Here is a 27,936-nt window from a genome sequence, read left to right on the forward strand (position 1 = left end):
TTACAAGGTAAATTAGTGGGGAGTGTGTTCAGCTGCAAGTGGTATAAAATGAGAAGGATCTTAACTCAAAGAGTACCTCAAATATAACTGAATCTGGAGGCAGACAACTGTGAGCATGAATTCAAAGGCATGATGGTTGACATCTCTGCAATTGTTTTGATCTTTCCTTAATGATGTTGTTTCACATTGCAAAATGGCGACTAGGCAGCTGAAAGGGAAAAGGAAGGCAACCAGTATGTCTGTTCCCTTTCATCAGCAAATCAAAACTTTTTCCAGAAATGCTTAGCAGATTTCTTCTCTTGTCTTCTCAGCCAGAACTGTGTTACCCAGTATCTCTGGCTAGAGGGAGGCTAGGAAAACAAAAAAAATGATTAGATCCTTATGATGGTTCAAAGAAATGGTGATGCTTTGTTTGGATTTGGACACATTTCTCTCCAAACAAATTTGGGGTTCTGTTTGCAAGGAAAAATCAGGTTAGAAAATGACTATTGAGTTAGCACCTAATATTGTTTACTATAGGAAGTTAAAATAAAATTAGAGACCATATATAGCAGGTACCATAACATTGACTAAAACACCATAAGTGCTTCATAAACAGGAGGTATGGTTTATGTGATAATAATAAATGTAATGTTATCAATGAATAGTAAACATGAAATGTAATGAGCTTGTGAGCATCAATGTATGTTACTGTAAGTATTTGCTCTGAGGATGTGAGAGGTATGTTTTGTTTTTATTTGTGAATAAACGTTCATTAAAAAGCATAATAGCACCCATCTCTACAAAAAGAGATGAAAATTCATCTTTGGAGCTGACTTCATTTATTTTAGGAAAACAACTGAGTGGATGACAAACATATGTATCTTAGTCAGTTTGGGGTAGTATAGCAAACTACCCTAGACTGGGTAGCTTAAACAACAAACATTTACACTCATAATTCTGGAGGCTGGGAAGCCCACCATTAAGACCCCAGCAGATTCAGTTTCTGGGGAGGAGCCACTTCAGGTTGCAGATGACCAACTTCTTGCTGTGTCCTCACATGGCAGAAACAGGATGAGAGAGCTCTCTGGGGTCTCTTTTATAAGGACACTAATCCATTCATGAAGACTTCACCTTCATGATCTATTTACCTCCCAAAGGCCTCACCTCCCAATGCGAACACATTGGGGCTTGGAATTTCAACATATGGATTGGAGGGGAACACAAACATTCACTCTATAACAACATGTCAGGTGTTTACATCTACTATTCTGGGTTAGAGGGACTCCTTAAGCAGATGGAGTCTTATCATCTCTCCCAATAACCACTCTTAAAGGTTTCTGAAGAGGAATGGGCAAACTGGCTTTGAAGGAAAGAATGAGATCTGCAGTAAGGCTCTTTCTCTGTGATGTTGAGAGCAATAAAATATGTTAAATTAACTACTGTATCTTAGACAGGTGGCCTAGACTCAACTTCTAAATCTAGGTTCCTTGAGAGAGAAGAAACTTTGGGTTGATGACAGAACCCCTTTTAAAATTTGGATGCTGGCTGTGGGGTTTGCCTGGAGGAAGTGGCTATGCATGGGAGTTGAATGCACAGGCCACTAAGAGCTTGTGCTGAAGTGTATGAGACACAGTGTTAGAGAAAAAATGGTCCTACCTTGAAGCCAGAGTCATGTTTTCACAGTCAAGGAAAAGGTAATTAATAACTCAGTGGAGTGTTTTATAAATATATAATAAGCAGGATAAACAATCAGCCCTATAGGAGATTCTGGCAGGGGCTGGGGGGGTGGTTCGAGGTGAGGGAGATAACTTTCCAGGAGGGTATGCTTAAAGGTTTCAAGGAGAAGATTGAGCTTGAGATGAACCATGAATGACAGGTAAGACTTTCAGAAGTGAGAAAGGGAAAATAATATTCTAGCTGGAAGAAAAATGTGTGGACAAATAGGTGGTTGAGAAAAGGTCTAGTGTATATGAAAAACAGTGAGTATGTCAGGAGGATTCTCTTAGGGAATAATGGGAAATATTTGGAAAGGTAAGTTGGCTCCAGAAAGTGAATTCTCTATTGAGGATTTTGTGTTTTTATCCATTCAGCAGTAGGAAAGCTTTGGAGAGTTTCGATTTCAATTTGAAATGATGAAACAATGTTATTGTGTTGGTAGGATGCAGGATGGAGTGGATTAAATAAATTTAAGCCACAGAAATGACTTAGAAGTATACTTTAATACTTCAAATAAAAGAGGTAAAAGCCTGAACTTGGGAGTGACAATAAGAATAAAAAGGAAGGAAACAATGTGAGCAATATTGCAAAGAAAACTTTTAAAAATAAAATGGTTGGGTGTAGTGGCTCACGCCTGTAATCCTAGAATTTTGGGAGGTGGAGATGGGCAGATCGCTTGAGCCCAGGGGTTCAAGACCAGCCTGGGCAACATGGTGAAACCCTGTCTCTACAAAAAGTACAAAAATTAGCCGGGTGTGGTGGCCCATGCCTGTAGTCCCAGTTACTCTGGAGGCTGAGGTGGGAGGAACACTTGAGCTTGGAGGTCAAGGCTGTAGTGGGCTGGGAGCGTGCCATTGCACTCCAGCCTGGGCAACAGAGCAAGACCTTGTCACACACACACACACACACACACAAATTTTATTATATTAAACAACCTGAAAAGAGAGAAGTAAAAAATGACACTGAGATTTTGAAACTGGGTGTCCAGAAAAGGAGCGAATTTTTGCTGTATCAGTTAAGGTAGACTGTTATGACAATTAAATACATAGATACAATGAAGTTTACTTCTTGCTTGTGTGATTTTCTTTAGTGAGATGGGTCTCTTCAAATGGTTCTTCTAGGACTTGAGTTCCTCAGCAGTGTGGTTTCTCCAAGACGTGAGGCTTCGTTGTCATTTGTTTCCAGCCAGCAGAAGGGAGAGGATTGTGGGGGCTGAACACGGCAGGTTTCTATGAGCCAGTCCTGAAGAAGCACCATTACTTCTGTTCTCAGAACTAACAACAGGGGAGTCTGGGACAGACCATCTAACTCCATTTTGACGAACACCCAGCAAGCAGTCTCTTCCATTTTCACTTTATGAGAGGAATATTTATCTTATCAAAATAATTTGTTTTGAAATTTAAAAGCCACTACATTTGTACCGTTTTTCATTTTTACTCTTTCGGATGTGAAAATTCTTCTTCATCAGAATTCTTAATTGGCCAATGTCCTATGTATTGCTTATTTTTCAGAAACATATCTATTGCATTAAATGAGGTGAGCTCACCTAATTTCTCAGTAACTCTTTAGAAGGCTCACATTGGAAAAAGAATTTTAAGTAAGAAAGGTATATTTGCTAACTATGGAATTTTCTGGCCTTTTTCTTCCTCCACTCCCTATCACATACATCTTCACTGGAAAATAAAGCAGCTTTATTATTGTGTTACTAGCAACCTGTAGAGGAAAAAACAAATTCGATAAGAAATCATTTAACCTTTTATTTCTTATATGCTAGTTATTAAACAGAACGTAGTTTAATTTTAGAAAATAGATGGGATTTTTTTGCTGTGATTCTGCACGCAGCACCTGTTTCAGGGGCCTACAGAATGTAGTGGCACCTTTTAAAATATGACACCTAATTTGTTTTGTTTGGTTTTGAGAGGTGACAGCGTGCTGGCAGTCCTCAGAGCCCTCGCTTGCTCTCAGCACCTCCCCTGCCTGGGCTCCCACTTGGTGGCATTTGAGGAGCCCTTCAGTCCCCTACTGCACTGTGGGAACCCCTTTCTGGGCTGGCCAAGGCCGGAGCCCACTCCCTCAGCTTGCAGGGAGGTGTGGAGGGAGAGGCAAGAGCGGGAACCGGGGCTGTGTGCGGCACTTGCGGGCCAGCTGGAGTTCCTGGTGGGCGTGGGCTTGGTGGGCCCCGCACTCGGAGCAGCCAGCCAGCCCTGCTGGCCCCGGGCAATGGGGGACTTAGCACCCGGGCCAGTGGCTGTGGAGGGTGTACTGAGTCCCCCAGCAGTGCTGGCCCACCGGCGCTGCGCTCGATTTCTCGCCGGGCCTTGGCTGCCTTCCCACGGGGCAGGGCTCGGGACCTGCAGCCCACCATGCCTGAGCCTCCCACCCACTCCATGGGCTCCTGTGTGGCCCGAGCCTCCCCGACGAGCGCCACCCCCTGCTCCATGGCGCCCAGTCCCATCAACCACCCAAGGGCTGAGGAATGCGAGCGCACGGCACAGGACTGGCAGGCAGCTCCACCTGCAGCCCCGGTGCCGGATCCACTAGGTGAAGCCAGCTGGGCTCCTGAGTCTGGTGGGGACGTGGAGAGTCTTTATATCTAGCTCAGGGATTGTAAATACACCAATCAGCACCCTGTGTTTAGCTCAAGGTTTGTCAGTGCACCAATCGACACTCTGTATCTAGCTGCTCTGGTGAGGACGTGGAGAGTCTTTATGTCTAGCTCAGGGATTGTAAAGACACCAATCAGCACTCTGTATCTAGCTCAAGGTTTGTAAATACACCAATCAGCACCCTGTGTCTAGCTCAGGGTTTGTGAATGCACCAATCAACACTGTATCTAGCTGCTCTGGTGGGGCCTTGGAGAACCTGTGTGTGGAAACTCTGTATCTAACTAATCTGATGGGGAGGTGGAGAACCTTTGTATCTAGCTCAGGGATTGTAAACGCACCAATAAGCGCCCTGACAAAACAGGCCACTCGGCTCTACCAATCAGCAGGATGTGGGTGGGGCCAGATAAGAGAATAAAAAGCAGGCTGCCCGAGCCAGCATTGGCAACCCGCTCGGGTCCCCTTCCCCACTGTGGAAGCTTTATTCTTTCGCTCTGCAATAAATCTTGCTACTGCTCAGTTTTTGGGTCCACGCTGCTTTTACGAGCTGTAACACTCACCGTGAAGATCTGCAGCTTCACTCCTGAGCCAGCGAGACCACGAACCCACCAGAAGGAAGAAACTCCGAACACATCTGAACATCAGAAGGGACAGACTCCAGAAACGCCACCTTAAGAGCTGTAACACTCACCGCCAGGGTCCGTGGCTTCATTCTTGAAGTCAGTGAGACCAAGAACCCACCAATTCCGGACACAGTTTGATTTTGAAGAATCTTTTGCGTTCTACAAGAGATTTGGAGGATGACATTTAGAATAATATTGCAAATGGAATGTGCTTAGGAGAAGTATTGTGTATAGTGTTAGAGACTCCCTATTTCATTTTTTTGTTTGTTTGTTGTTGTCGTTTTAAGAGACAAGCTGTCACTCTGTCAGGCAGGCTAGAATGAGATGGCACCTTCTTATCTCACCGCAGCCTCAAACTCCTGGGCTCAAGGGATCCTCTTGTCTCAGCCCCCCAACAGGTACACACCACCATACCCAGCTAATTTTTTGTAGAGACTCAATCTCACTGTGTTGCCCAGGCTGGTTTCAAACTCCTGATCTCAATGATCCTCCTGCCTTGGCCTCCCAAAGTGCTGAGATTACAGGTATGAGCCACTGCACCAAGCCTTATTTGGTGGTTTCTCTTCTTGGTTTAATGTTGGCACTTCCTCCCTTAACTTCATGACTTTGGGCGATAACCCCTCCATCATGCTATTTCTACAAAACATACTATTGTTTTTACTATTTTTAAAATAGTAGAAACTATAGTGTGTACCTCACAGTTTATAATCAAGAGTAAATGGTATACTGTGAGTCAGATGCATAGCATGATACCTGTCACACAGCAAAAGCTCCATTAATGGGTAAATGTCTGCTATTATTGCTCAGAGAGAATAAAAGGAAGGTGCCTCAAAATGTCTTTAAAATGACCATGAAGAATCCATATCCTTTCTCACATTCATATAGAACCTCCTCTAATTGAAAAGCTCATCTCTAAGAACACTGTTACTTATCACTTGTATGGTGATATGAAATGAGAAGTGTCCTTTGGGAGCCTGCCATGTAAGTCCAATGTTACCGACACAGGCAAGATGCACAACAAAGACAAATCAAAATGAAGTCTCCACGCTAAGAATTTACATTAAGTACAACGAAAGAGATAAATGCATTTTTTTGGTTTGCTTCATGAGACCTCTGGTATGATGAGTTGGCTCATTACATTTGCTTTTTTTAAAAGGAACCCTATAAGACATTATCAAGAGACTTTTCAATCCAATCTATTTGTGATTGCATCTTTGTTTTCAAAGAAACTATTTTTGGAATTGTTGGTTTAGAGTTCCATCTCTTAGTGTGGTCAAAATTAACTACTTAGAGATACTAGGCAGGATGTAACTGAGTCAGCTAATGGAACTCATGTGTTGAAGAAAAATTTCTTGACAAAGAAAAAAAAAATGGAAGGTTGGGGCTAGAGGAAGCACCCATGGGAATAATAATGTGATTTAGAATATGCCTTACTACACTGGCATCTGAAAAGATTTTATATCATCTTCTTTCTTGAAAGGAAATTAAATTGCCATAAGAGGCTATGCTATCCTAAAATGGTAGCCATCTTTTTGTTTATTTTTAATTAAATTCCATCCAGATAAGGGATCCTCATCTTCTTTCATATGGGCTTTTCGGACTGCCACTGATCCATGTACCAGATAAACAAAACACCTTCCAAATTCAATCCATTTGGGATAGCTACTTTCAAAAGCAGTGTTTTAAGAATCAGATAACTCCTAATATCTTTTGGTAGGGAAAGGGAAATTCCTATTTATTTTAGTGGCTGGAATTACCTCTGAGGCCTGAGAGAAAAGTTACCCCCCAAAGAAGGAGAATGTAATCTAATTCTTCCTGAGTGCTTGCACTAGGGAAAGTAAGCAGCTGTCTGTTGTCATTTGAAGGGCTCTGTGACAGCTCCCTACCCTTTAAAATAAGCAAACAAAGAAACAAAAATAAAAACCACTTATATCCATTAGCCCTGCCAAAGTGCTCACAATTCTCACATTCATTAATTCACTTGTTACTGAGAACTGATCAGGCACAGGCCACGTGCTAGGCACTGGAAGCACAAGCCCTGTTCTCACAAGCCCACAATCCAATCATATTATGTAACCTTTGGTAGAAGAATACTTTCCAGAGTGTGTTCTGCAAAACAAGTTTATAGTATAATATAAATTGTGATCTGTAAAAACGGTAAAGACTTCTGCAAGCAAATACACTTGAGAAATAAGTTAAAAACCATATATACAATTTTCATTTACTGAGTAGTTCTCAGTATCTTTAATATGCCCCCCAGACACCACTGAGTGCATTGTTGAATGCAGAGGGAAGGATGGATGGCTGAGGGGGAAGGATGAATGCAGCAGGGTTTGGATAAGACCCTAACTAGAATGACCAGATTTCCTTAGCCCTTTCGATTTTTCCCATTATCACTGAATTTCGGTTTGATTGTTGCTCCTACATTTTGCAATAAATGCCAGCATTAAGTTTTAGTTTTATCTCTTTATGGGTACCCAATCCTATATTACTTTATGTAACTAAGCTATACCAGTTCCCGTTACTTGCACTGCTTGGTGACATTAGGGATAAAGAAAAGGGCATGAGTTTGAGAGTTACAATAGCTTTAGCACACTGACTGGCACTCAATGGAGCCTCAGTAAATATTTGTTAAATAAATGAGCAAATATCCGGACTTAAATTCCAGCTCTGCCATTTCCTAGTTGTTATTTGAACATTCTGAGCCTTAGTTTAGTCAACTGTAACATGGGACAATGGTATTCATTTTAAAAGAAAGTGATCAATAAGTCAGCTATTTTCACTTCTAGTGGAAGTAAATTTTGCTTTTCTCTTTTGGAACTACATTACCTAAGTTTATATGACTCCTCCTCGCTTTTATTTCGTGGTTTTAATACATGTACTGACTAGGTCACTTTTTCCAAGTCTGGGCTTCACTATTTGTTCTTGTTTTCTTGTCAGAATTAAAACTTTAGAGAAATCTGAAGGACCAATTCAAAAGTCACTACAGTCCTTTCTTTCCAGATTCCATCTTTATTCCATAATTATTTAATGAATGCTGAGTATTCTGAGGGTTCTGTGCTAGGCACTGAGGCTATGGTAGGCAAGGGTCCTACCGCTATGAATATTAGCAGCATGAGAAACCAGGGGGACCCAGAATTAAAGAACACTCATCTCTAGGCTGAAAGACCTTTGTTGTATCCAGCATATGAATAGAAAAATAACCACAGCAAGGCACATTATTACAATACTTCAATACACCAAGAATAATGGAAAGATGTCCAAAGTAAAATAATAAAAACAGGACATATAAATAGAAGAATGCCAACAGCCTTCTCACCAGCAACATCAATGCAACATGCCTAGGGAGAAAAGACTTCAAAAGTCTTTTATCTGTCACCACTCTTGGTTAGGAAATTATTGGAAGACTTGTACCAGCAAAAGAGAAAAACAATAATAGAAAAAGACATAGAACCCAGGAAACAGTGGTTTCAACCCCCACAAAATCAGTGAAACTGAGTCCTGGGGTGACTGTAGAGCAGGTTTACAGAGGAAACTGTCCAGATTGAAGCAAGAGGAAGAAATCCCTGGAAGAGATGTTTTCATGAAAAGTGTGAGGACTTAAAAGAATAAATAATGCAGTGATACATTCTGAAAGGCAAGTGTATAAAATTATTCAGGTGAAAATATCATCAATCACCATCACAGGCAGAATCACTACTGAGTTCTGCAGTGACCGGAGGTTTACATTGCCATCATAAACCAAGCATTTGCACTAGTTTCTTAGGGTACCAAAGCAAAATACTAGTGAGCACATACACTTGAGAAATATGAACTCTTGCACTTCAATGGAAATTGAGGGACAAGTTATTTAGAACTTTCTAGGAAAGGGTCAGTAACTTCCGGGTCATTGCCATGGCATAAACTGTGTGGCTTAAAACAATAGAAATCTTTTGTCTCCCAGTTCTAGGGTCTTAAAAATTCAAAGGCAAGTTGTCAGCAGGGCCATGTTCCCTCTGGAACTTGAAGTAGATTCTTTCCCTGCCTCTTCCTAGATTTTGGTAGTGGCCAGTAATCTTGAGTGCCCCTTGGCTTGCAGCTGAATCACTTCAATCTCTTCCTGTCACCGCATGGTCTTCTCCCAGTGTGCCTGTCTTCACATAGCGCTTCTCTCTTCTTTTAAAGGCAACAGTCATTTTTCGTCAGTTTTGACAGGTGAATTTTGCTCTGATGAATTCTGCTATTTTTTAAAATAAAATTTTGAGGTAGTTTTAGATTTACAGAAAAGCTGAGAAGATGATAGAGTTCCCATATACTCCACACTCAATTTCTCCTATTATTACTAATAACATGTTATTAATGTACATTTGTCACAACTAATGAACCAATATTAATAATTAACTAAAATTTTTATTTTATTCAGATATGCTTAGTTTTTACCTAATGTTCTTTTTCTGTTCCAGGATACCACATAGGTTTAATTATTGTCTCCTTACACTCCTCTTGGTTGTGACAGTTTCTCAGACCTTCCTTGTTTCTGAGGACCATGACAGTTTTGAGGAGTACTGCTCAGGGATTTTTGTAGAATGTCCCTCACCTGGGATTTGCCCAATGTTTTTCTCATGATTTTGGTGCAGGACAGGCAGATCTCAGCCCAGGAGAGTTCTTGGCTTTGCCTAGTAAAGAATTCAAGAGTGAGGTGGTGGTGTTAGACAGCAATCTTCTATTGAAGGGTACTGCTCCTTGTAGAGTAGGGCCAACTCAAAGACACTGCACCCAGAGTCAGCAACATATGGGCTTTTTGCAACTCTATTTATACTCATGTGAACCCACTTTTAATTGTATGCAAATTAAGAGGTTGATCAATGCAAATTGAGGGGTGGGTCATTTAGAACTTTGTAGGGAAGGGGCCATAACTTCTGGATTGTGTTCACAGAAAGGGGTGGTAACTTCCAGGTCATTGCCATGGCATTTGTAAACTGTCATTGCACTGGTGTGAGTGCCTTATGCTAGTGAGCAGTAAGGGCAATTATGGATCCCTTTTGTCGCCATCTGCTGGTTGCTGCTGGTTTTTTCTCTTCATCCTGTCTGGACCAGATCCTATTTTGGTCCACAAGGTTGTGACCAGAAAACAAGTCCTGCTGGTCTCTTACCTCAATTAGCCTGGGCTTATGGATTTTAAGAAGAAGGCTACAGAGGCAAAGTGCCATTTTCAGCTCATTATACTAAAAGCATGCACTACCAAATTGATTTGTCACTTATTACTATTAACCTGCACACATAGCTGAGATAGTGTCAATCAGATTTCTGGACAAAATATTACTCTTTTTTTCCCCCTTTCCAAACTATATCCTTTGAAAGAAGTTACTGTGCACAGCCCACACTTAAGGAGTGAAGTTATTCTCTACTCTTTGAGGGCAGTGAGTCTACATACATTATTTGGAATTCATTGGTATAGGAAATTTTTCTATTGTCTTCTATTGTTTTTGTTTTGTGAGCCAGCCTTATTAGTATAACCACCTTGACTACTAATATCATTATTATTGGACTGAATCAATACTCTAAAATTTAAAACTTTGATAGGAAAAATAGAAACTTGAAAAACAGTCTATGTTAAAGCTGCAAATAGTTTTTTAAAATGGCAATGGACTCATTTGTCATGCACGGGTAGCAAAGATCATTTAAAATTGAGATCTTTGAGGGCTATCATTCTAAGGAATGGCCCTGTGTAACATTCTGTAAAAGGTTGTCCATGGTATAGGCAGATGTTATGGATGAGAATTTGCAACCAGAACCACTGATGCATTATAAATAGTATATATTTTTTTCTAAATAAATGTGAATCTAATCCTGAATCAGTTCAATCTCAGTTATTACTGGGTCTGATAAAAGTCTTGAGAGTTTTAAATACTCCTTTCTGGACACTAGGAATGTGTGTCCTTTGTCCCATCCTGCAGAGTCTTTTCATGACCAGTGGCTTTGCCACCTCAGTCCCATAATTGGAACAAGGGAATCTCTGCCAAGGAATCATACGGCAAAGTGCAGCCTTCCAAGGCATGTCGGGCAGTCATCCCTCTGGGCCTTGCCCTGCATCCAGGCTACTGCCATGGGGCAGTGCTTAATGGACCAAGGTGCTGATACTGAGTGGGCGCCATGACCTTTCCTCCCTTACTATATCAAGAATTCCATTTTTCAACTGGCTCTTGGATATTCTTCCTTAACTTCCCCCTGCCCAGGATACTTAATAGGTTTAATTAAGTAATTGCAGCTGACAAAACAAGTAGGACCTGATTTCATCAGCTACTGCGTTCTCTCCTGCAGGAATTTTTGGGACATGAAAATCTAAAATGCCTGGTTTACCTATTTGGAATCAGAAAAAAAAACAATGGGATCAAACCACAAGTTAAAACCTCGAAAAAAGTTATCCTGCCATTTTCTTTGCTTGTAAATTCGTTTCAGCCAAGAGAATGTACTTCCCATTTCAATGTCCCCCACTGAGAGGACGGACCCTAGGTCTCTGTCCAGAGTTGGACAACTCTCATTCACAAATAAAAGATAAAGGGTAGCAATTCCCACACACAAAGCCACCCTACCCGTGTGGATATTTCCATTAGGCTCTAGGCCCAATGAAAACTTGAAACTTCCCAGTCCTCCCAGCACTGATTCTAGCCCATCCTAGTGGTTCTGCCTCACTCTGTGTTTAAAGACTAAAAATTTTAAAACAGACTATTTTTTAGAGCAGTGTTGGGTTAACAGCAAAACCAAACAGATAGTACAGAGAGTTCCATTATACTTCCTGCCTCTACACATGCTCAGCCTCCCCAGCTATCAACCTCCACCAGAGTAGTACATTTGTTACGACTGCTGAGCCTGCATTGATCCATCAATATCACCCAAAATCCACAGTTTACATTAGCATTCACTCTTGGTGTTGTACTTCCTATGGGTTTGGACAAATGTTTAATGCCATGCATCTATCATTATAGTAACATATAAAGTAGTTTCACTGCTCCAAAAATCCTATGTGCTCTGCCTGTTCATTCCTCTCTCCATCTCCTCTCACCCCTGGCAACCCAGGATCATTTTATTATCTCTAAAAAAGTTTGCCTTTGCTAGAATGTCATATAGTTGGAATCATACAGCATGGAGCCTTTTCAAATTGGCTTCTTTTATTCAGTAATATGCATTTATGTTTTCCCCATTCTTTTTTCTTGGCTTGATAGCTCATTTCCTTTTAGCACTGAATAATATTCCATTGTCTGGATGTACTTCAGTTTATGTATCCATTCACTTACTGAAGGACACCTTGGTGGCTTCCAAGTTTTGGCAATTATAATTGAAGCTGCTGTGAACATCCATGGGCAGGTTTCTGTGTGGACATAAGTTCTCAACCCCTTAGGGTAAGTATCAAGAAGAGTGATTGTGATTGCTGGCTCATGTGCTAAGAGTATGTTTAGTTTTGTTAAGAAACTGCCAAACCATCTTCCCACTGTTTAGGGATTTTAAAACTGGCAGAAAGTTCAGTTGGTCCTCAACCAATTCTACAGCCATGTCTCTGCATCATCAGAGTCCCTGTGCCAGCGATCAGGAGAGAGTTCTCAGGACTATGATGGGTGAGTAGTCAGCCACACCAGAGCCAGGCAATCATCTCTCAATGAAAATTCTGGCCTTGATACCTCCTCTTCCTGATTATTGAGAAAAAGGAATGCTGATGATTTGGCTTGTGCTCTTCAGAGATCAGAGTTGGTGCATGCTCTGGTTCCTCTTTGGGTTTCTGAGCCCTAGCCCAACACACACACACACACACACACACACACACACACACACACACACACAGAGAGAGAGAGAGAGAGACAAATGTGCTTTAGCTTCCACATCATTAGCTTACACATTATTAGCTGGACCAAGGGGATGTTTATGGCTGTTTCCCCTCTGAGGCTGGGCGGTGTTCTCTCCTGTTATGTCCTGACTGTGGGGGTAGGGGGTCCAGCCTCTGCACAGGTGTCCCAGGACATCACCAACAATAGCAGATTAAGGCAGATACAGGTAAACAACCTGGAGTATCTTGGCTTCATTGTATAATTAAGGCGCCTCTGGAAGGAAATATGTGTACAGCTAGCTTCCCAAAGTCTAAAAGTGGTAGTCAGAGTTCTTAATTTCTATGCTAAATCCTCATGAGCACTACCTGGTAGGCCTGAAGCTGGTGCCAAAACCACAGGGACCAGGTCCCCTTGCTTGGGAAAGGGAACAACTATCTTCACTTCTTCCTGATTCTTTATTATCTACAGAACTTGGGCAAAGTTCACAGAGGAGTAACTTTCAGCAGGGAAAGAACCATAGATCTTGGCAGGAAGACTTGGGGCAAAGCCCCTGAGGAAAGGAATTGACTTGTGAACTCCAAGAACAGCCATGCCAAGTAATAGATGAAAGTCACTCACAGTGTTAAATATTAATTTGTTACCCCAAAGGCTTCAGAAAAGTCTTGTTGAAATTCAGAAAATTCAGAATTACAGTATTCAAGATTTAATTTCACCAAATAAAAGGTTTGAGGGGATACTGCTGTGTGAGCCAAGGTTATAATTTAAATATTAACCCGAATAATTTGCACTCTATTTTGATTGCATCCTCTACCTTTTCATAATCCTAAGAAAAGATCATCGTTGTATTGCAATATCAAGAATATTCTCAGTTACCATATGCTTGTAAACTAGTGGTGGAAGCTGTCCTTGGAAAGTAGAAATCACCCACTCATTCCCCTTAATTTTGTAGTCAAACGTTTAGTTCAGAGCAGCTCATACACTGATGGTTTTGCAAATCCCATGAGCAGCGTACACATAGCCTAATTTTTTTTTTCTCCAGTGACTTGTTTTATAATTTGGTAATGCTGCCATTGTATGAGTGGATTTGTCATTTGTAATAAAATTGCTGACCACCTGCAAGATAAATATTGAAGTATCATGGAAAAACACATTTCAGGAGAAACAAAGGCATAATAATTAGAACCACTTATTTTTTCTTACTATGGCATCTTTTAAAATTTTTTTCTAACTACCCCATTACTATAAATTCTGGCTTTCTAAGCTTCAGGGATTACTTTTAAAGGTGAATTTCATATAAGTAGATGTAGCATGCTCTTTCAAAACAGTAATTTAAGTCCATTCTGAAATTTTTATTCTTACATCTTAGTTCTTTTAATTTGGAAATATATCAGTTATTTCTAAATGGAGTCTACTTTAAGCAAATACTCCTGGGAAATCTGAACCAGTTGTGAAATTTGGATTTTTAAATAAAAATTCAAGTGAGAAGTAAACAATTTGCTTGAGATTTGACATGGCCAATAAACCAGAAATGCCTCCCAGTATGACCTGAAATATTTCACAACTTTGGTGAACTGAGTGTAACCTTTTAATAATGATTTTGACATAAAGAGTTAGGCCCAATTTATTAACTAGTTGGGACATCTAATCAATCCAGCTACAGAACTGTCAGAGTTAAGTGACATAAATACAAAATGAATTTTTAGCTATCCAATCCAGTGGCCCATCATGTTTTTCAGGGTAAAAGTCATTGACTTCACTATAGGAAAACCAGATCATGAGAGAACAACATGAAGACCCTATCTGAGAACCCTGGAGGGTCAGCCGAAGTTGCATTCATAGCCAATTCTACCATTTACAAGCACCTGAGGAGGCTATTCAACTTCCTCAAATCTCAGATAGATTATTCACAAGGTTGTTGAGTTTAAGATATTTTTACTGTTGAAAGTGAGCAATGCTTATGCTGTGTTCATCATATTAATTACATAATATTCTGCTGATAAAACTCAAATTTGAGCACTGATTCCAAAGATGTTTGTTCATCCTCAAAGCCATTGAAAAACATCTAGAGATTCTATTATCCTACAAGATATATAAGTAGTGCCATGAGATGGATGTGTGACAAAACAGAAGATGAGGAGGAATAAAAGGAGAAGGAGGATAGCAGGAGGGTGAGGGGAGCTTCAGGATGAGCTAGTTTCTCGGAAAAAAAGGTAGATTTAGAGAGTGACTAAAAATAATTAAATAAAGAATATTGAAAGAATTGGAAAACCTTACGAAGTTAAAGGATTACTTTAACGTTTTTTAGGTGGTTACTCTTTGTTATTATTCATCAAGCAATCATTCGCATTTTGTGTATTTCTCTTTCACCAACAAAAATTTGATTGTGCCCTTTCAGGATGACAGAGGAGTTTATAACACTGTCCTTCCAAAAGTGGTCAGTCACTCTAAGCTTTGAAGTTAACACAACCTACGCTGGTTGATCTCTTAAGAAACACCACATACCATTTTTTCCCAAGGTTTCCATTTGGAAAATAGTTATTAGTACCATGGTGAACAGGAGTTAGAAGATGTTTTCTGTAAAAGGGCAATTAGTAAATTGTTAAGATTTCTGAAACTTTGTTGGAATTACTTAATTCTGTCATTGTAGTGCAATAGCAACCACAGATCATGTATAAATGAATGGAAATAACTGTGTTCCAATAAAACTTTATCTACATAAACAGGTTGCAGGCTGGATTTGGCTTTTGGGTCATAATTAACCAGCCCCTGATCTACAGAACCAGGAACTTTGTATTTTTCCTTCACATCAGCTTCCTTCCTGAAAGATAGGACTTCCCAAGGGTGGCAGAGGAGGGTATTAAAACAAATGCCATGCACAGAGCAGGAGAGAGAGATTATGGCAGGACAAAGGGTACATAGCATCATTTATATCACCTATACTCTTTGTCCAGAAGAAAATACCCTGATGATAAGATATACAGAAAAATATAGTAGCTGTGAAAATAGCTTGAGCCCAACCATTATGCAGGAATAAAAAAAAGAGTACATCTTAAAATAATTAATAATGGGAGAGCAAAAACTGAAAGCCAGGATCAACTTAAAATAATATTCAAGAGGCATAAATAACTATTTTGCTTCTGGATAAAATCGTTGGTTGGATGCTTGGGGAGCAGGCTTTTAACTATCTGTGTGTGTGAAAAGACAGCAGAAACTTGATCTTGCTACTCAGACTTCTTAGGATATGGAGTTACAGACCTATGAAAATTCTAGTAACATAAATGTTGCTGTATGTGTACCAAATATTAGTCATCTTTGGTCATTCACTTACTCAGTTGGTAATGGTTTGTTCTTAGTCATTATAAAAATGAAAATCCATGAGCTTGCACATCCCTCCTTCCCACAAGAACCCATGACGGAGCATGCAATTGTTCATCATTCACGAAGCAGGAAAACCCCTGACCATACTTTGAGAAACAGCAGTCTAAATTTTTCCCACCTTGATGTTTTTGCTCACAGAGTTCATTTTGCCTAGAACACCCCTCTCTACTCACTCATCCTCTCTTCACACCTTACTTCTAGCAGCCACATGTACAACACATCATTACTCAGGGCTGAGGAAAACCTTTCTTCTTCATACAGTGTTCTTGGACTTTCTGGCTTTCTGCTCTTACCAACTGGAAGTAATCTACTGGCCGATATCTCCACCCAAAATGTCCATAGACATTTTGGTCTTCAGCCCATCATGTCCCAGTGTTAGTGACATTCAACTCTGTGTTATGGTTATGTGTCTGTGCTTTCCTAATAAGCTCCTTGAAGAGGGTGAATGTGTTTCGTTTTGCTATGGTGATTCACTGGGCTTTGAGCAGTAGATTGAACACAGGCAAATACCAAGTACATAAATGAATTTTTGAGTGAGATATATAAAACCCTAATAACCTATTACATCCAGGTTCTATGTCATTTTCCAAACACTAAGACTGAATTCTAATTGTCCAATGAGACAACTTCATTGCATTGTATATTTACTTGTTTACTAGGTATACATTAATGATAGTCACTTTTATACAATTATATGGAGTTTATGGAGAGATTATTTGAATATTCTTTAATTAGAACCTCACAATAACCCTGAAAGGATATCAAAGCATGTTACAAATGAAAATCTGAAGCTCAGAGAGTTTTAGCAGCATCACTCAGACACTATACTTAGTAAGTGGTAGAAAATAAATGTGAGGTGTTATGGAAAATAGAAATATTTTCCGTCTTTTTCTCTCTCCCTTCTGGATCCTTAGAGGTTTTATAAAGGTTTAAAGTAGAAGACAAATAAATCTCATCCAAGGCAATCTCTTGTAAAGTATATACCATTCTTTATTATGTACTATATTATAAATGCAGTGTATAGTATATATCACTATACACTATAGTATATAATTTACTGTATATGATATATATTATAATATACTATATTATAAAATATACTATTAGGCACATTTATACAGAAAATAATTAAGATCACTGTATATTGAACTAGATTTACTAGAAAAAATTGCATAGAGAAAAAAGTTCATTTCTGAAAATTTGTGAGGGAAGGTAGACTTACGTAAAAGAATTTCAATCCAGTTAATTCTGGCTTAAAGACTCATCTAATTAAATAAAACTATAAACTTAGCATTGACACTCTAGGTTAATCAGGACATCATTCTAGGAGAAAGTCAAATATATTAGGCTCTGATATGACACTTTCTAAAATCAAATTTCAAATGGCTTAAAGTAATCTAAATTTGGTCAAGAAAGTAGTCATTCAATATCTGAGACTCCTTGTGAGCTCAAGTTGGAGGACTGAAAACCACATCACATTAGCTATGTAGCTGCCAGATCAATTGTTCACAATCATAACTGGGTATATTTTGTGCCCTGGACCATTTCAGATGGATGGAACCGGGCATGGAACAACAACGAGATTGTCAGAGGATAGTGAAGAATCAGAGGAGGACATCTTCCCTCATTTCTCCATCCAGAAATAACACATGTCCTGATGACATCCTCATACCAACATCATCATCCCTCCATTCATTGCAGCAGAGGCCACCACACTGCTTCTCCATCTCATCACGGCCCTTTCTTCCTGCTTTGTCCAGCAGGACCACCTCTCCCCTTAGTTGGGACTGACATTTAGGGAGAAAGATAACTAAAGGCAGTAGGTTTTAGGATATGACTTGGACACATTCGAGATTTGCTTTTTACCCCTATGGCAAAGTTACTTTGACCTCTCTATCCCTGTTTTTTCTTATATATAAGAGAAGAATAAAAATATAGCTAACATGTATTGAGGACTTGTTGTGGGTATTCTTATAAGCACTCAAAATATATTAACTAACTTAATCCGTACAGTAATTGTTACTATTTGTCTTAACCGTTCAAACTACAATAACAAAATGTCATAGACTGGGTAGTTTATCAACAATATAAATTTATTTCTCATTGTTCTGATGGCTGGGAAGTCCAAAACAAAGGCACTGATAGACTCTAGTGAGGGCTTGTTTCCTGGTTCATAAAGGGCATTTTCTCACTGTGTTCACAGGGTGCAAGGGGCAAGGGGCTCCTTTCAGGCCTCCCATTTATAAGGAGTCCACTTTCATGACTTAATCACCTCTCAAGGCTCTACCTCTAATAACATCACCTTGGGAATGAGGATTTCAACATATGAATTTGGGGGAGACATAAACACTCGGACCATAGCACCATTAGTATCCCATGTTACAGATGAGGCACAGGCTTAGTGATTTGCCCAAGTTCACAGCTAATTAGTGGCAGAGCTTTGATTCAAAATATAAGCAGTAAGGTGCCAGATCCTGATTCTTCACTTCTATCCTCTACTGGCTCTAACTATAAAGTTAACATAGTTTAAAATCATATATTTTTCTGTGTGATTGTTAGTGTAACATCCAGCTCCCTTGATAGACTTAAGCCACCGAAATTTGTTAATCCTCAATTGCCTCACTTGTAGAACAGGGACAATAATAGTAGCATCAACCTCACTGAGTTGTTTTCAAGCTTCAAGGAGAAATTACATGTAAAGAATTTAGTATAGGACCTGGCCATAGGGAATGCTGCATTCAAAGTGGCTCATGAAATTTGTACTTTTAGTGATCAAATGCATTTATTATCCTATAGTTAATTCTGCTACCATTCTGGTCATACCATACAAAGATACCATATTCTATCTAAGTATGTCATTACGCTTGAGCTATATGGTGGATTGCCTAAATTCAGGTAGCCTACAAAGAGAAAAAAAAAGTTTTTAACTCAGACAAGTAATATGTTTACCATTTCAGGAAAGTTCTGTAGCTCTTGAGATCTGCTTCCATTGTTGAAGAGTTTTTCTCCTCGCTGTTGTTCTAAAGAACCAACTAAAAATTGTTTTCCTAGTTATGTGCAGGTGTAAGATCCACACGGTAGAGACTTCACAAGAAGCTTTCAGGGCTCAGCATGGGAAAATGAACTTAACATAACTGACAACTGAGTCTTATAAATGAGTGTGTATACGTTTGGTTTGGGCCATGGGTAATTTGGGCTTGTTTGCAGAGAAGCTGAGACAAAAGGTGAAACCTAAGATGACCATTCATATACATCTAAGCTTCTGACAAAACTACCTGGTGAATCTGTCCTAAAGGAAAATTAGAAAAGGATTCTGCCATCTAACAGTTTATGTCATTAGTGGTTTTTTTAATGTTCTTCTCACTTTGTCCTCTCAGTGTTATTGGCTTTCAATTCTGTTCCTCAGAAATGTACTATTTACATTAGAGAAGTTTCATAGGAAAAAAAATTGTATGACTGAGATTTTGCTTCTGTGGTAGGTGTTTTTAAAGTACTAGCTGTTGCCATGTCACAGTGGTGGCAGCAGCAGGATTATTGATATTAGAGGCAGTAAGGGCCAACATTTATTAGCTGAAGCATGTTTCTAAGACTCCAACATATTTTATATCTCACATAATTACCACAGCAACCCATCAGGTAGGTACTTTTTTTTTTTTCTTGAGACAGAGTCTCACTTTGTCACCCAGGCTGCAATGCAGTAGCATGATCTCAGCTCACTGCAACCTCTGCCTCCCAGGTTCAAGCAATTCAAGTGCCTCAGCCTCCTGAGTAGCTGGGACCGTAGGTGCGAGCCACCACACCCAGCTAGTTTTTATATTTTTAGTAGAGACGGGTTTTTGCCATGTTGGCCAGGCTGGTCTCGATCTCCTGACTTCAGGTGATCTGCCCTCCTTGGCCTCCCAAAGTGCTGGGATTACAGGCGTGAGCCACCACGCCAGCCCAGGTAGGTACTTTTATATCCTTATTTCACAAATGAAGAAAGGTGCTGATTATCTTGCCCAAAGGCAATATGGCTAGGAAGGAACAAAACTGTGAATCAGATCACTTCATTCTACTACCTCCTAGCCCCATATTATAATAATATGCTTCATATTTAAAAATAAGTATCAGCTTTATGCAAATAAGTGTTAAGCATCTGCAAATTTTAAGATTTCCCATGTGGTCCTATGGACTTTCTAGACATTCTTTGTCCTATTAGTAAAAAATCTTCATCAATGTGGCCAAAACTGCCTTCAACATGTTATGTATCAAATTTTGCATCCATTTATTAAAGTGTAAAAATGTGGAACTCAAATGAAAAAGACTTTCTTACCTTATATATGTCAGGTTCAGTCATATTTGAAACATGGAAAACATGAATAGGTCTAGAGAGAACATAAATATGAATTTATGGGTTACTCCTTTTGAAAATATCAGGTTGCTTTGTGTGTGAGCTTTTGAATTTTATATGCACACACTTTATAGAAATGTATATTGTATATGCAGTCATCCTGTGTGTGCAAATTGAACATTGCTTTCTTAAATGTAAAATGTACTATCTTCACTGAGGCTGCTTTGCAATTTAAAAATATGAAAGTTAGAAGTTGCCTGGCCTTTGCTTCACCTCCAACCTCTCTACAAAAGTATGACAGTGACTCTGATTGTCATTGTGAAACTGCCAGTGTTAGAGAGGCATGGTTGGAGGAGGACCTCATCAACCTCCAAGCTCTGCTTCATTCTTTTCCATGATTGTTTCTCCTCTGAGATGAGAAACAGCATTACAAGAGTCTCTTGTGTTCATGAGATCAGAAATTTCTGAGAGTTTTGTTTTCCATTTAAATTGTAGTTTAAATTTGTAGGGAAACCAGAAATGGCCAAGTTTTCCATTTAAGAGATCCCAGCAAAGTTTGTGACCCAGGGCAATCTCTAAACACAAACTCCCAAATTAGTTTTTCTTGTAACTTTGGCCTTTAGGCAGGTACCAACTATAAAAAGCAGTGACCATGATGGGTCTGCCTGGGAACATGCTTTCAAAGATTTCCAGGCCTTCATCTTGCCATGACTGTTGGAAGACTTTTGGCTTCACTCTGAAAGCCATAAAACCATAAAGCAGATCTGAGAAAAACCCACAGCTGCATACATCTGATGACAGTCAAACTGATTTTCCAAAGATAAGGAGTTCAGCAAAACCCAAACTCCATGATGGCAACAATGCTGGACCTTTACTCCCCCAAGCAGTGGGTATTCAGTGGAAGATTTAATCCATGTGTTCCTGATCTACTTACAGTTATCTCATCAAAATGCCATTTGCATAAGTGTTTCCAAAGTTTCATGAGCTTTTATTTCTCAGTCTCTCACACAGATTCTAGTGGAACTCGAGTTTTGCCAGGGAAACATGACTCCCAAAGTCTAATTTATTTTCAAAACCGAAAGTTTGTAAATGTTAAGTAGCTACTTTAAGTAACACTTATAACAGTCTTTATTCTCAGCAACAGCGTAGCTCATCAGTTAAAGTGTTGTAGAAAAGTGCCCTTTCATCACCACCAGAATTAATGAGACTGGTCCTTTGCCAGTCCTTCTACTTCCTGTATTTTTTTCAGTGCAATCTACAAAACCCAGCCCCTGACCTTAAAGAGCTTACAATTTAATAAGGACATTGGAAATGGGCACAAATAACTACAATATGTGGCACACAGGATCTGACAGCAGCTTACAATCCTGTAGTGGCTCTCTCTTATATCGAATTAGAATTCAACAGCTTAATATTCAAACAATCATCATCCCCCTTCCACACACAAGTAATTTTTTTCAAACGCATTTTTCAAACAGCATGTGCCTTTTTTCTTTCTCTCCACCTGGCATGTCATTCCTTTTCTCTTGGCAGTACGTTTTCATTTCTCTCCCAAAATTCTGCCCATACTTTTATCATAGCCTTCCTTCTTATGCATGGATCCTTAGCTGGGTACAGACTATTATAGCAGGGTGACTGTGTAAAAATTGTGTGTGCATCTGTGTGTGGTGTGTGCATGCACGTGTGTGCGTATGTTTTCATACTCAGAAATATGGCCTTATCTAGACCAGATTTGCTGAGAATTGTGCCTACCTTACCTTTGTGAGAGCGTATTTCTTGTGTTGCTTAGTGGGACTCTTCCAGATTGTCCATCAAACTTTTCATTTTGTGTCACCAAACTCTTTGGTAAGAGAATGAAGTAAAACAGGCTTTTCAGAGCTGGAAATACCTAAAGAAGGAGAGAGCAGGAAACTCGAGGAGGAATAGGAGGCAGTATGTAGCCAGCTCGTAATTCGGATCTCATCCACTAATTATGGCATATGTGAGAATATATGAGTCATCTCTGTTCTTGAGCATCAAGACTGCATATACCTCTCCTTGGACCATCACTTCATGATATCACCCAGTGACAGTCGGGGTGAGAATTCCAGCAGGGCGCAGTGGCTCATGCCTGTAGTCCCAGCTCTTTGGGAGGCAGAGGCAGGAGGATTCCTAGAGGACAGGAGTTCAAGACCAGCTTGGGCAACTAAGTAAGACCCTGTCTCTACAAAAAATTTAAAAATTAGCCACCCATGGTGGCACACACCTGTGGTTCCACCACTTGGGGGGCTGAGGCGAGAGGAGTGTTTGAACCCAGGAGGTTGAGGATGTGGTGAGCTATGATGGCACCACTGCAGTCCAGCCTGGGTGGCAGAGTGAGACCCTGTCTCAAAAAAATAAAAAAATAAATAAATAAGAAAGAAATTCCCAGGCCTATTTTCCCATTGCCCTGGGGAGCCATTTTGTATCCCAAGCTGAAGCCAATTTAATCTGAATTCATTAGACCATTCAATAAATATGTATTGTGTGATATTATGAGTTAAAACTGTAACAAATTTAATGGGAAATTCAGTTGTACATGAAGTATGATCCCTGCCCTCAAGAAGCTTACAGTTATCTTGCACTTGGAAGCACAGATCCTTAGAAATAGAAAGAACCCCAAAAGTCCAGGTGTCTCATTATTTAAATGAGATAACTGAGATCTAGAGAGTAAATGTGATTATCTTTAGTCAGTGCTCTTGTCTAGGTCAGACACAGTGGCTCACACCTGTAATCAGAGCACTTCGGGAGGCCCAGGCAGGCAGATCGCTTGAACACAGGAGTATGAGACTAGCCTGGGCAACATGGTAAAACCTCATCTTTACCAAAACTAGAAAAATTAGCTGGATGTGATGGTGTGTGCCTGTAGTCTTAGCTACTCCAGAGGCTGAGGTGGGAGGATTGCCTTAAGCCCAGGATGTCAAGGCTACAGAGAGTTGTGATCTTGCACTCCAACCTGGGTGATAGACAAGATCCTAGCTCAAAAAAAAAAAAAAAAAAAAAAGCTCTTTTCTATAACCCAGGTTCCAGATTCAATTCTGTGTTTTTTCCATTATGTGATGCTTTGAGAGGTTACTTCGTTTTGTAGTTATTTTTCTTTTTCCCTCCCTAGCTAAATTATAGGTCTCTTTAAAGGCAGGAAGTAATGTCTGATATTTCTTTCCCATTCAGGCCACCCAAGTATGTTATGCATAATTAGACAGACTTAAGTATTCAGTAAATGTTTGTGGGATGAGCAAGTAAGTAAAGTAATGAATGAATAGGTAGTGCGAACACAAATCACTAAATGGGAGAGAAAGCCTGGAAAACACTCATTCTTTCTTATTCCATGTCTCTGTAGTGATTGCCCTTGGTTTGTGGCTTAGCAGCTGTCAGTGTGAAAAACACTTAGAGGCTTAGTTGACTCAACACAACTCCAAATGCTAATGTAAACTTAGGTCTCCTTAAAGGAGGTATACTGTCCAAGGTAGGGACATCATAGTTCCACTCTGAACTCTTCAAATGGTCTATATCTAGGTGTAGTTTTTTAATTTAATTTTTATTAATTTATTGGTAGAGATGGGGTCTCACTATATTGCCCAGGCTGGTCTCAAACTCCTGGCCTCAAATGATCCTCCTGCCTTGGCCTCCCGAAGTGTGGGGATTACAGACATGACCCACCCATGCTCAGAACCTCGGAAGAGTTTTTAAGGGGGCTTTTGACAATAGTTAATCTCATACAATTGTCTTTAAGAGATACTTAAAGACACTAAACATGCCTTATTTAATTTTGTGTACTTCACCTAACAAAATACTTTTCGCAAAACTATAATGTGCCTAAAGGAGAAAGACTGCAATGGAGAATGGTTCAAATCCACACAGTATGAAGGATGGTTAAGAAGCCAGCTGGGTGTGTGGGGAAGGGCTTTGAATATCCAAAGAACTATCATATGGGAAAGGAGTTGGATTTATTCTACATGTTTTCAGAGGATACGAACTCCTGTCCTCTAGGAATCCTCCTGCCTCTGCCTCCCAAATACTTGTGAATGCTACCTGGACACCGATTTGGATGAATACAAAGTACATTTTTTGCAATTAGAGAGTTACTTGAAAACAAAAGTGGCTGTCTGCTGAGGTGGAGCATGCCCTGCTGCTGACAATGTTGAAGCAGGGTCTGGACAACCCCTTGTTGAGGGCATTTGGTGGCCAGATCTTCTTTTCAGTGTCTTCAGACCTTGGGCTCTGATGAAGGTGACGGTGTGGCTCTGCCACTGACATGGCACAGTGCCTGGCCTGTGCAGCTTATTTCTGCTTCTTCCGTGGCCCTTACCTTTATTGACAATTTCTTAGCAATCCATAACTGTCCATGGAAACTAAACTTCAGAAGATTATTGAAGCATTTCTCCTTTCTTGCTTGTTCTGGAAAATTACTCTCACTAAACAGTGTGTGTTATTATATACATCCTCTGCTACCCTAACCCAACCCTAGTGTTGTTTAAAGGCAATGAGACAACATCATATAGTGATCAATATGGTCAACAGAGCTCAAATCCTTGCTCCAGCAGTTGCCAAGTTGGGCGATTTTCCTAATCTCGCTACCCTCCTTTTCCCAAACTATACAATAGGGTCAATGATATTATCGATCTCAGCAATACGATTGAGGATTAAATGGCATAATGCATGTAGAGTGTTTAAGTACAGTGCCTGAAATACAGTAGATGCTCATTGATAGCAACTATATTTCATTGTTAATAAAAGAGACAAATTTCTTTCAGCTGCTTTGATTTAAGAAGACAATACCATTTCCAGACATCTCTTTCCTGGGGCTAACTATATTAGTATTCTGCCCTGATGGGAAGGAAGAAACTTCATGGGCAGTAAATAGCCAATTTAGAAGCAGGAGAAATATGAGGTAAGCTGAAATGTTACCCCCTGCTGGCTTTTTGAAATGCAGATTCATCAATTTCTTTGATGTCCCTAGCCACTTCCAATGAACATCTTTCAGCATATTATTTGCTTTCTTAACCACATCACTTTTCACTGAGTTCAACATTCCTGGAGGATTCAAAGGATCTTGGTACATTCCTCCAAAATGAATTCAGAAGGTAAGTGGAAAGAGATGGGAAAACATCTTTGAATAGGATCCAGGTTCAGACTAGGGGTGGGAGGAAGTCTGGGGTGGGTGGGTAACAGTGACTCAAAAGGTAACAGTGAATTCAGCTTCAGGATTTCCGTGTGCCAGTCTACTCTGCCAGTGGCCTGATGACTAACCGCAGCCAAGCAACCCATTCATCTCCTTTGCCTAAATAAGTGGACACGATGGCATTCAGCCTCCTGAAGGGGAAATGGAAGGACCACACAGGGAATCAGAGGGTCTCCTTGGGAAAGCAGGAATTAAAGGGGTCATCACTTTCAGCCTTCCCTTAATCTGTTGTTTTAGGGAGTCCACGTTCATAGTAGAATATTTTCCCTTTTAAAGTTAAGCACTTAGAATAATGCATTTTCAAATGATTAATCAAATCCCAGTGAGAAGCAGGCTCACTATGCACTGGTTACTTCAGCCCACTGCATCTTGGGCTGCACTTTGACTACTTGCTCCGGTAAGAGAGAATACTCACACATACAACAGGTTCCATGAAATGGTGGCAAGGAACAGCAGACACCTTGGATTCATGGTGAGCTGGTTTCTCAAGGCTCAGGAAAGCTGCCCAGGGCAGGTGGAGTCTCATCTGCGTGTGCCTCACTTGCACCCCAGATGCAGGACCCTGGAAAGTAGCCGTCTCTGGGTTTTCTACTCCAGGGATAACATGACCTGCTGGATTAATGTGCTGAAGGACATCCTGTTTCTAGCGGGGACTGGAACAGAGCCTAGGCCTTATCTCGGGATGTTGCATTCCCAGCACATTCTAGTTATTCTTAAAACTACAAGTGAGAAAGCGGGAGGACTGGTTTGGTCCAAGGCCACCTAGGGAACTGTCCTGCACCAGATGCAAAATATCACTCATCAGAGGTCCTCTTAATACCCATCTCTAATCCTGGGCTGGCAACATTGAAGTATACATCTTTGTTCAGGAGTCTGTCTTCTTACTAAACTGTACACTCCTTACAGACAGAAACTGGCTTTTATTTATTTTGTATCCCAAGCAGGGTAGAAATGTACATCAGATATTACACGTTGGCATATTTAACTACATTAAATCCTTCTTCCAGAAAATCATACTGTGTGCTGGAGACCAGAAAGCTAACAATATTAAGGGTAGTTATTCAGACTCCCTGAGAGTCAAGCTGCATCTTGAACCAACTTCTCCAAACAGACTCAGCCACGTGAGAGCTGAAAAACACAGTATCACAAGGCAGGGCCATGCTCCTGCTGACAAACAAGCACAGTCATGAACACACTTGGCTGTTCTGTGCAGCTGGAATCCCAGTTTCCAGGGTCTAGCTACATGGGTGTCAGCCTAGATCCTGGGCTTCCAGCCCTTCTATTTTGTAAGCACCTAATTACCCCTATTAAGTAGCTTTCTGATGAAATTAGTTCAACTGGTTTTTGTTATCTGGAATTGAACTCTAATTTGGTGTTCATCAATTGTTTGTCGAATGAATGCACTTGGTAAACATTGGCTCCACCCACAAGGTCGACCTTAAATCAATTATTCACACCTGGGCTCCTGAAATCACCTGCTGATTCTCAAAGGGGATGATTCATTAACAAGTAAGAGAAAGTTTCCGAGAAATGCCTCCAGTAGAATTTTAAAATGCAGTAAAAAGAAAAAAAAAAGTCACTGTAAAATACCACGTGGAAAAAGAAGTGGCTTTTTGTTCTTACATTTTACCGTTATCTAGAAAACTAATGAAGTGGCTTATTTTTGTCACTTAGTTCCAATTAAAATAGAGTATTGCTGTTTTCTAAATGACCACAAAACTACAAGTAAGAAAAGATTATTCAAGGTTTACATTCTGAAATAAATGGTTTGTGTGAAGTTGGGAACTAGCAGAATTATTAGAGTGAACAATGCTTTGAATCCTCAGATTTAGGTTGAAGATTTGACCTTTGAGAATCTATAGTTAAATGCTGTTTATTCTTGTGAATCCCATAAAAGGCCTGGAGCTTCAACGGATTAACTTAAGGCTTAAATGGTAAGCATCAACCTGAACATTCTGGGACAAGGCCTGACTCCTAACCACTGGAATGAGCAAGGAAGCAAAGAGCTCTCCTCTGAATTTCTTAGGTGCAAGAACAGCAGTTGGACTCCCCAAGCTAATGCATTTCTATGAAATTATTGTCTTCTTACTGAAGCTTCCTGGCCCAAGACTTATGCCTCTCTACCTGAAAAATGCCTTTTCCTTCAGCAATGCTGTGATTTTTTCAATTCTGAAGGCTGAATGATCAGCACCACTTCAGTTTAGTTAAGGATTCACTTGGCTAGCCCAGACTACCATGCGTTGACTGACAAGTACAGGTGCTGTCTAAAAGGAGATTAGAAGAGCATTGACTTGCGTTACAGGAG

The 27,936-nt window shown here is 40.1% G+C and overlaps 1 protein-coding gene and 1 long non-coding RNA gene across 9 annotated transcripts in view, besides 1 other annotated feature; one reads left to right on the forward strand and one right to left on the reverse strand.

Annotated features, from left to right (window-relative positions):
- The window catches only part of LYPLAL1 (lysophospholipase like 1), a 271,619-nt gene that overhangs the window by 232,979 nt on the left and 10,704 nt on the right, over positions 1–27,936 (forward strand). For 4 of the 6 annotated variants that reach the window (XR_007078557.1, XR_007078562.1, XR_001736967.3 and 1 more), the window contains one exon: positions 25,204–25,340. The gene's annotated coding sequence lies outside the window, so the exon portion shown is untranslated. Of the gene's footprint in view, positions 1–25,203; positions 27,764–27,936 lie in introns of those variants that run through there. The other 2 variants (XR_007078559.1, XR_007078561.1) reach the window with 2 other exon arrangements.
- On the reverse strand, positions 805–26,192 carry LOC107984018 (uncharacterized). Of its 3 annotated transcripts, none has more exons than XR_002958459.2 (4): positions 26,047–26,192; positions 20,414–20,465; positions 4,862–5,083; positions 805–3,411 (listed from the first exon to the last, which is right to left on the reverse strand). It is a non-coding gene; the product is annotated as an uncharacterized LOC107984018 (long non-coding RNA). The 3 variants fall into 3 exon arrangements; XR_002958458.2 differs by lacking the exon at positions 26,047–26,192 and adding an exon at positions 22,189–22,588; XR_002958460.2 differs by lacking the exon at positions 20,414–20,465.
- Positions 10,003–10,052: a silencer, noted in NCBI's record as "silent region_1821". NCBI's record gives its function as "represses an Ori minimal core promoter by ATAC-STARR-seq in GM12878 lymphoblastoid cells {active_cell/tissue: GM12878}" and the evidence as "EXISTENCE:reporter gene assay evidence [ECO:0000049][PMID:35858748]".

The sequence above is a fragment of the Homo sapiens genome, chromosome 1, assembly GCF_000001405.40.
Source record: "Homo sapiens chromosome 1, GRCh38.p14 Primary Assembly".
NCBI classification, from domain to species: Eukaryota; Metazoa; Chordata; class Mammalia; order Primates; family Hominidae; genus Homo; species Homo sapiens.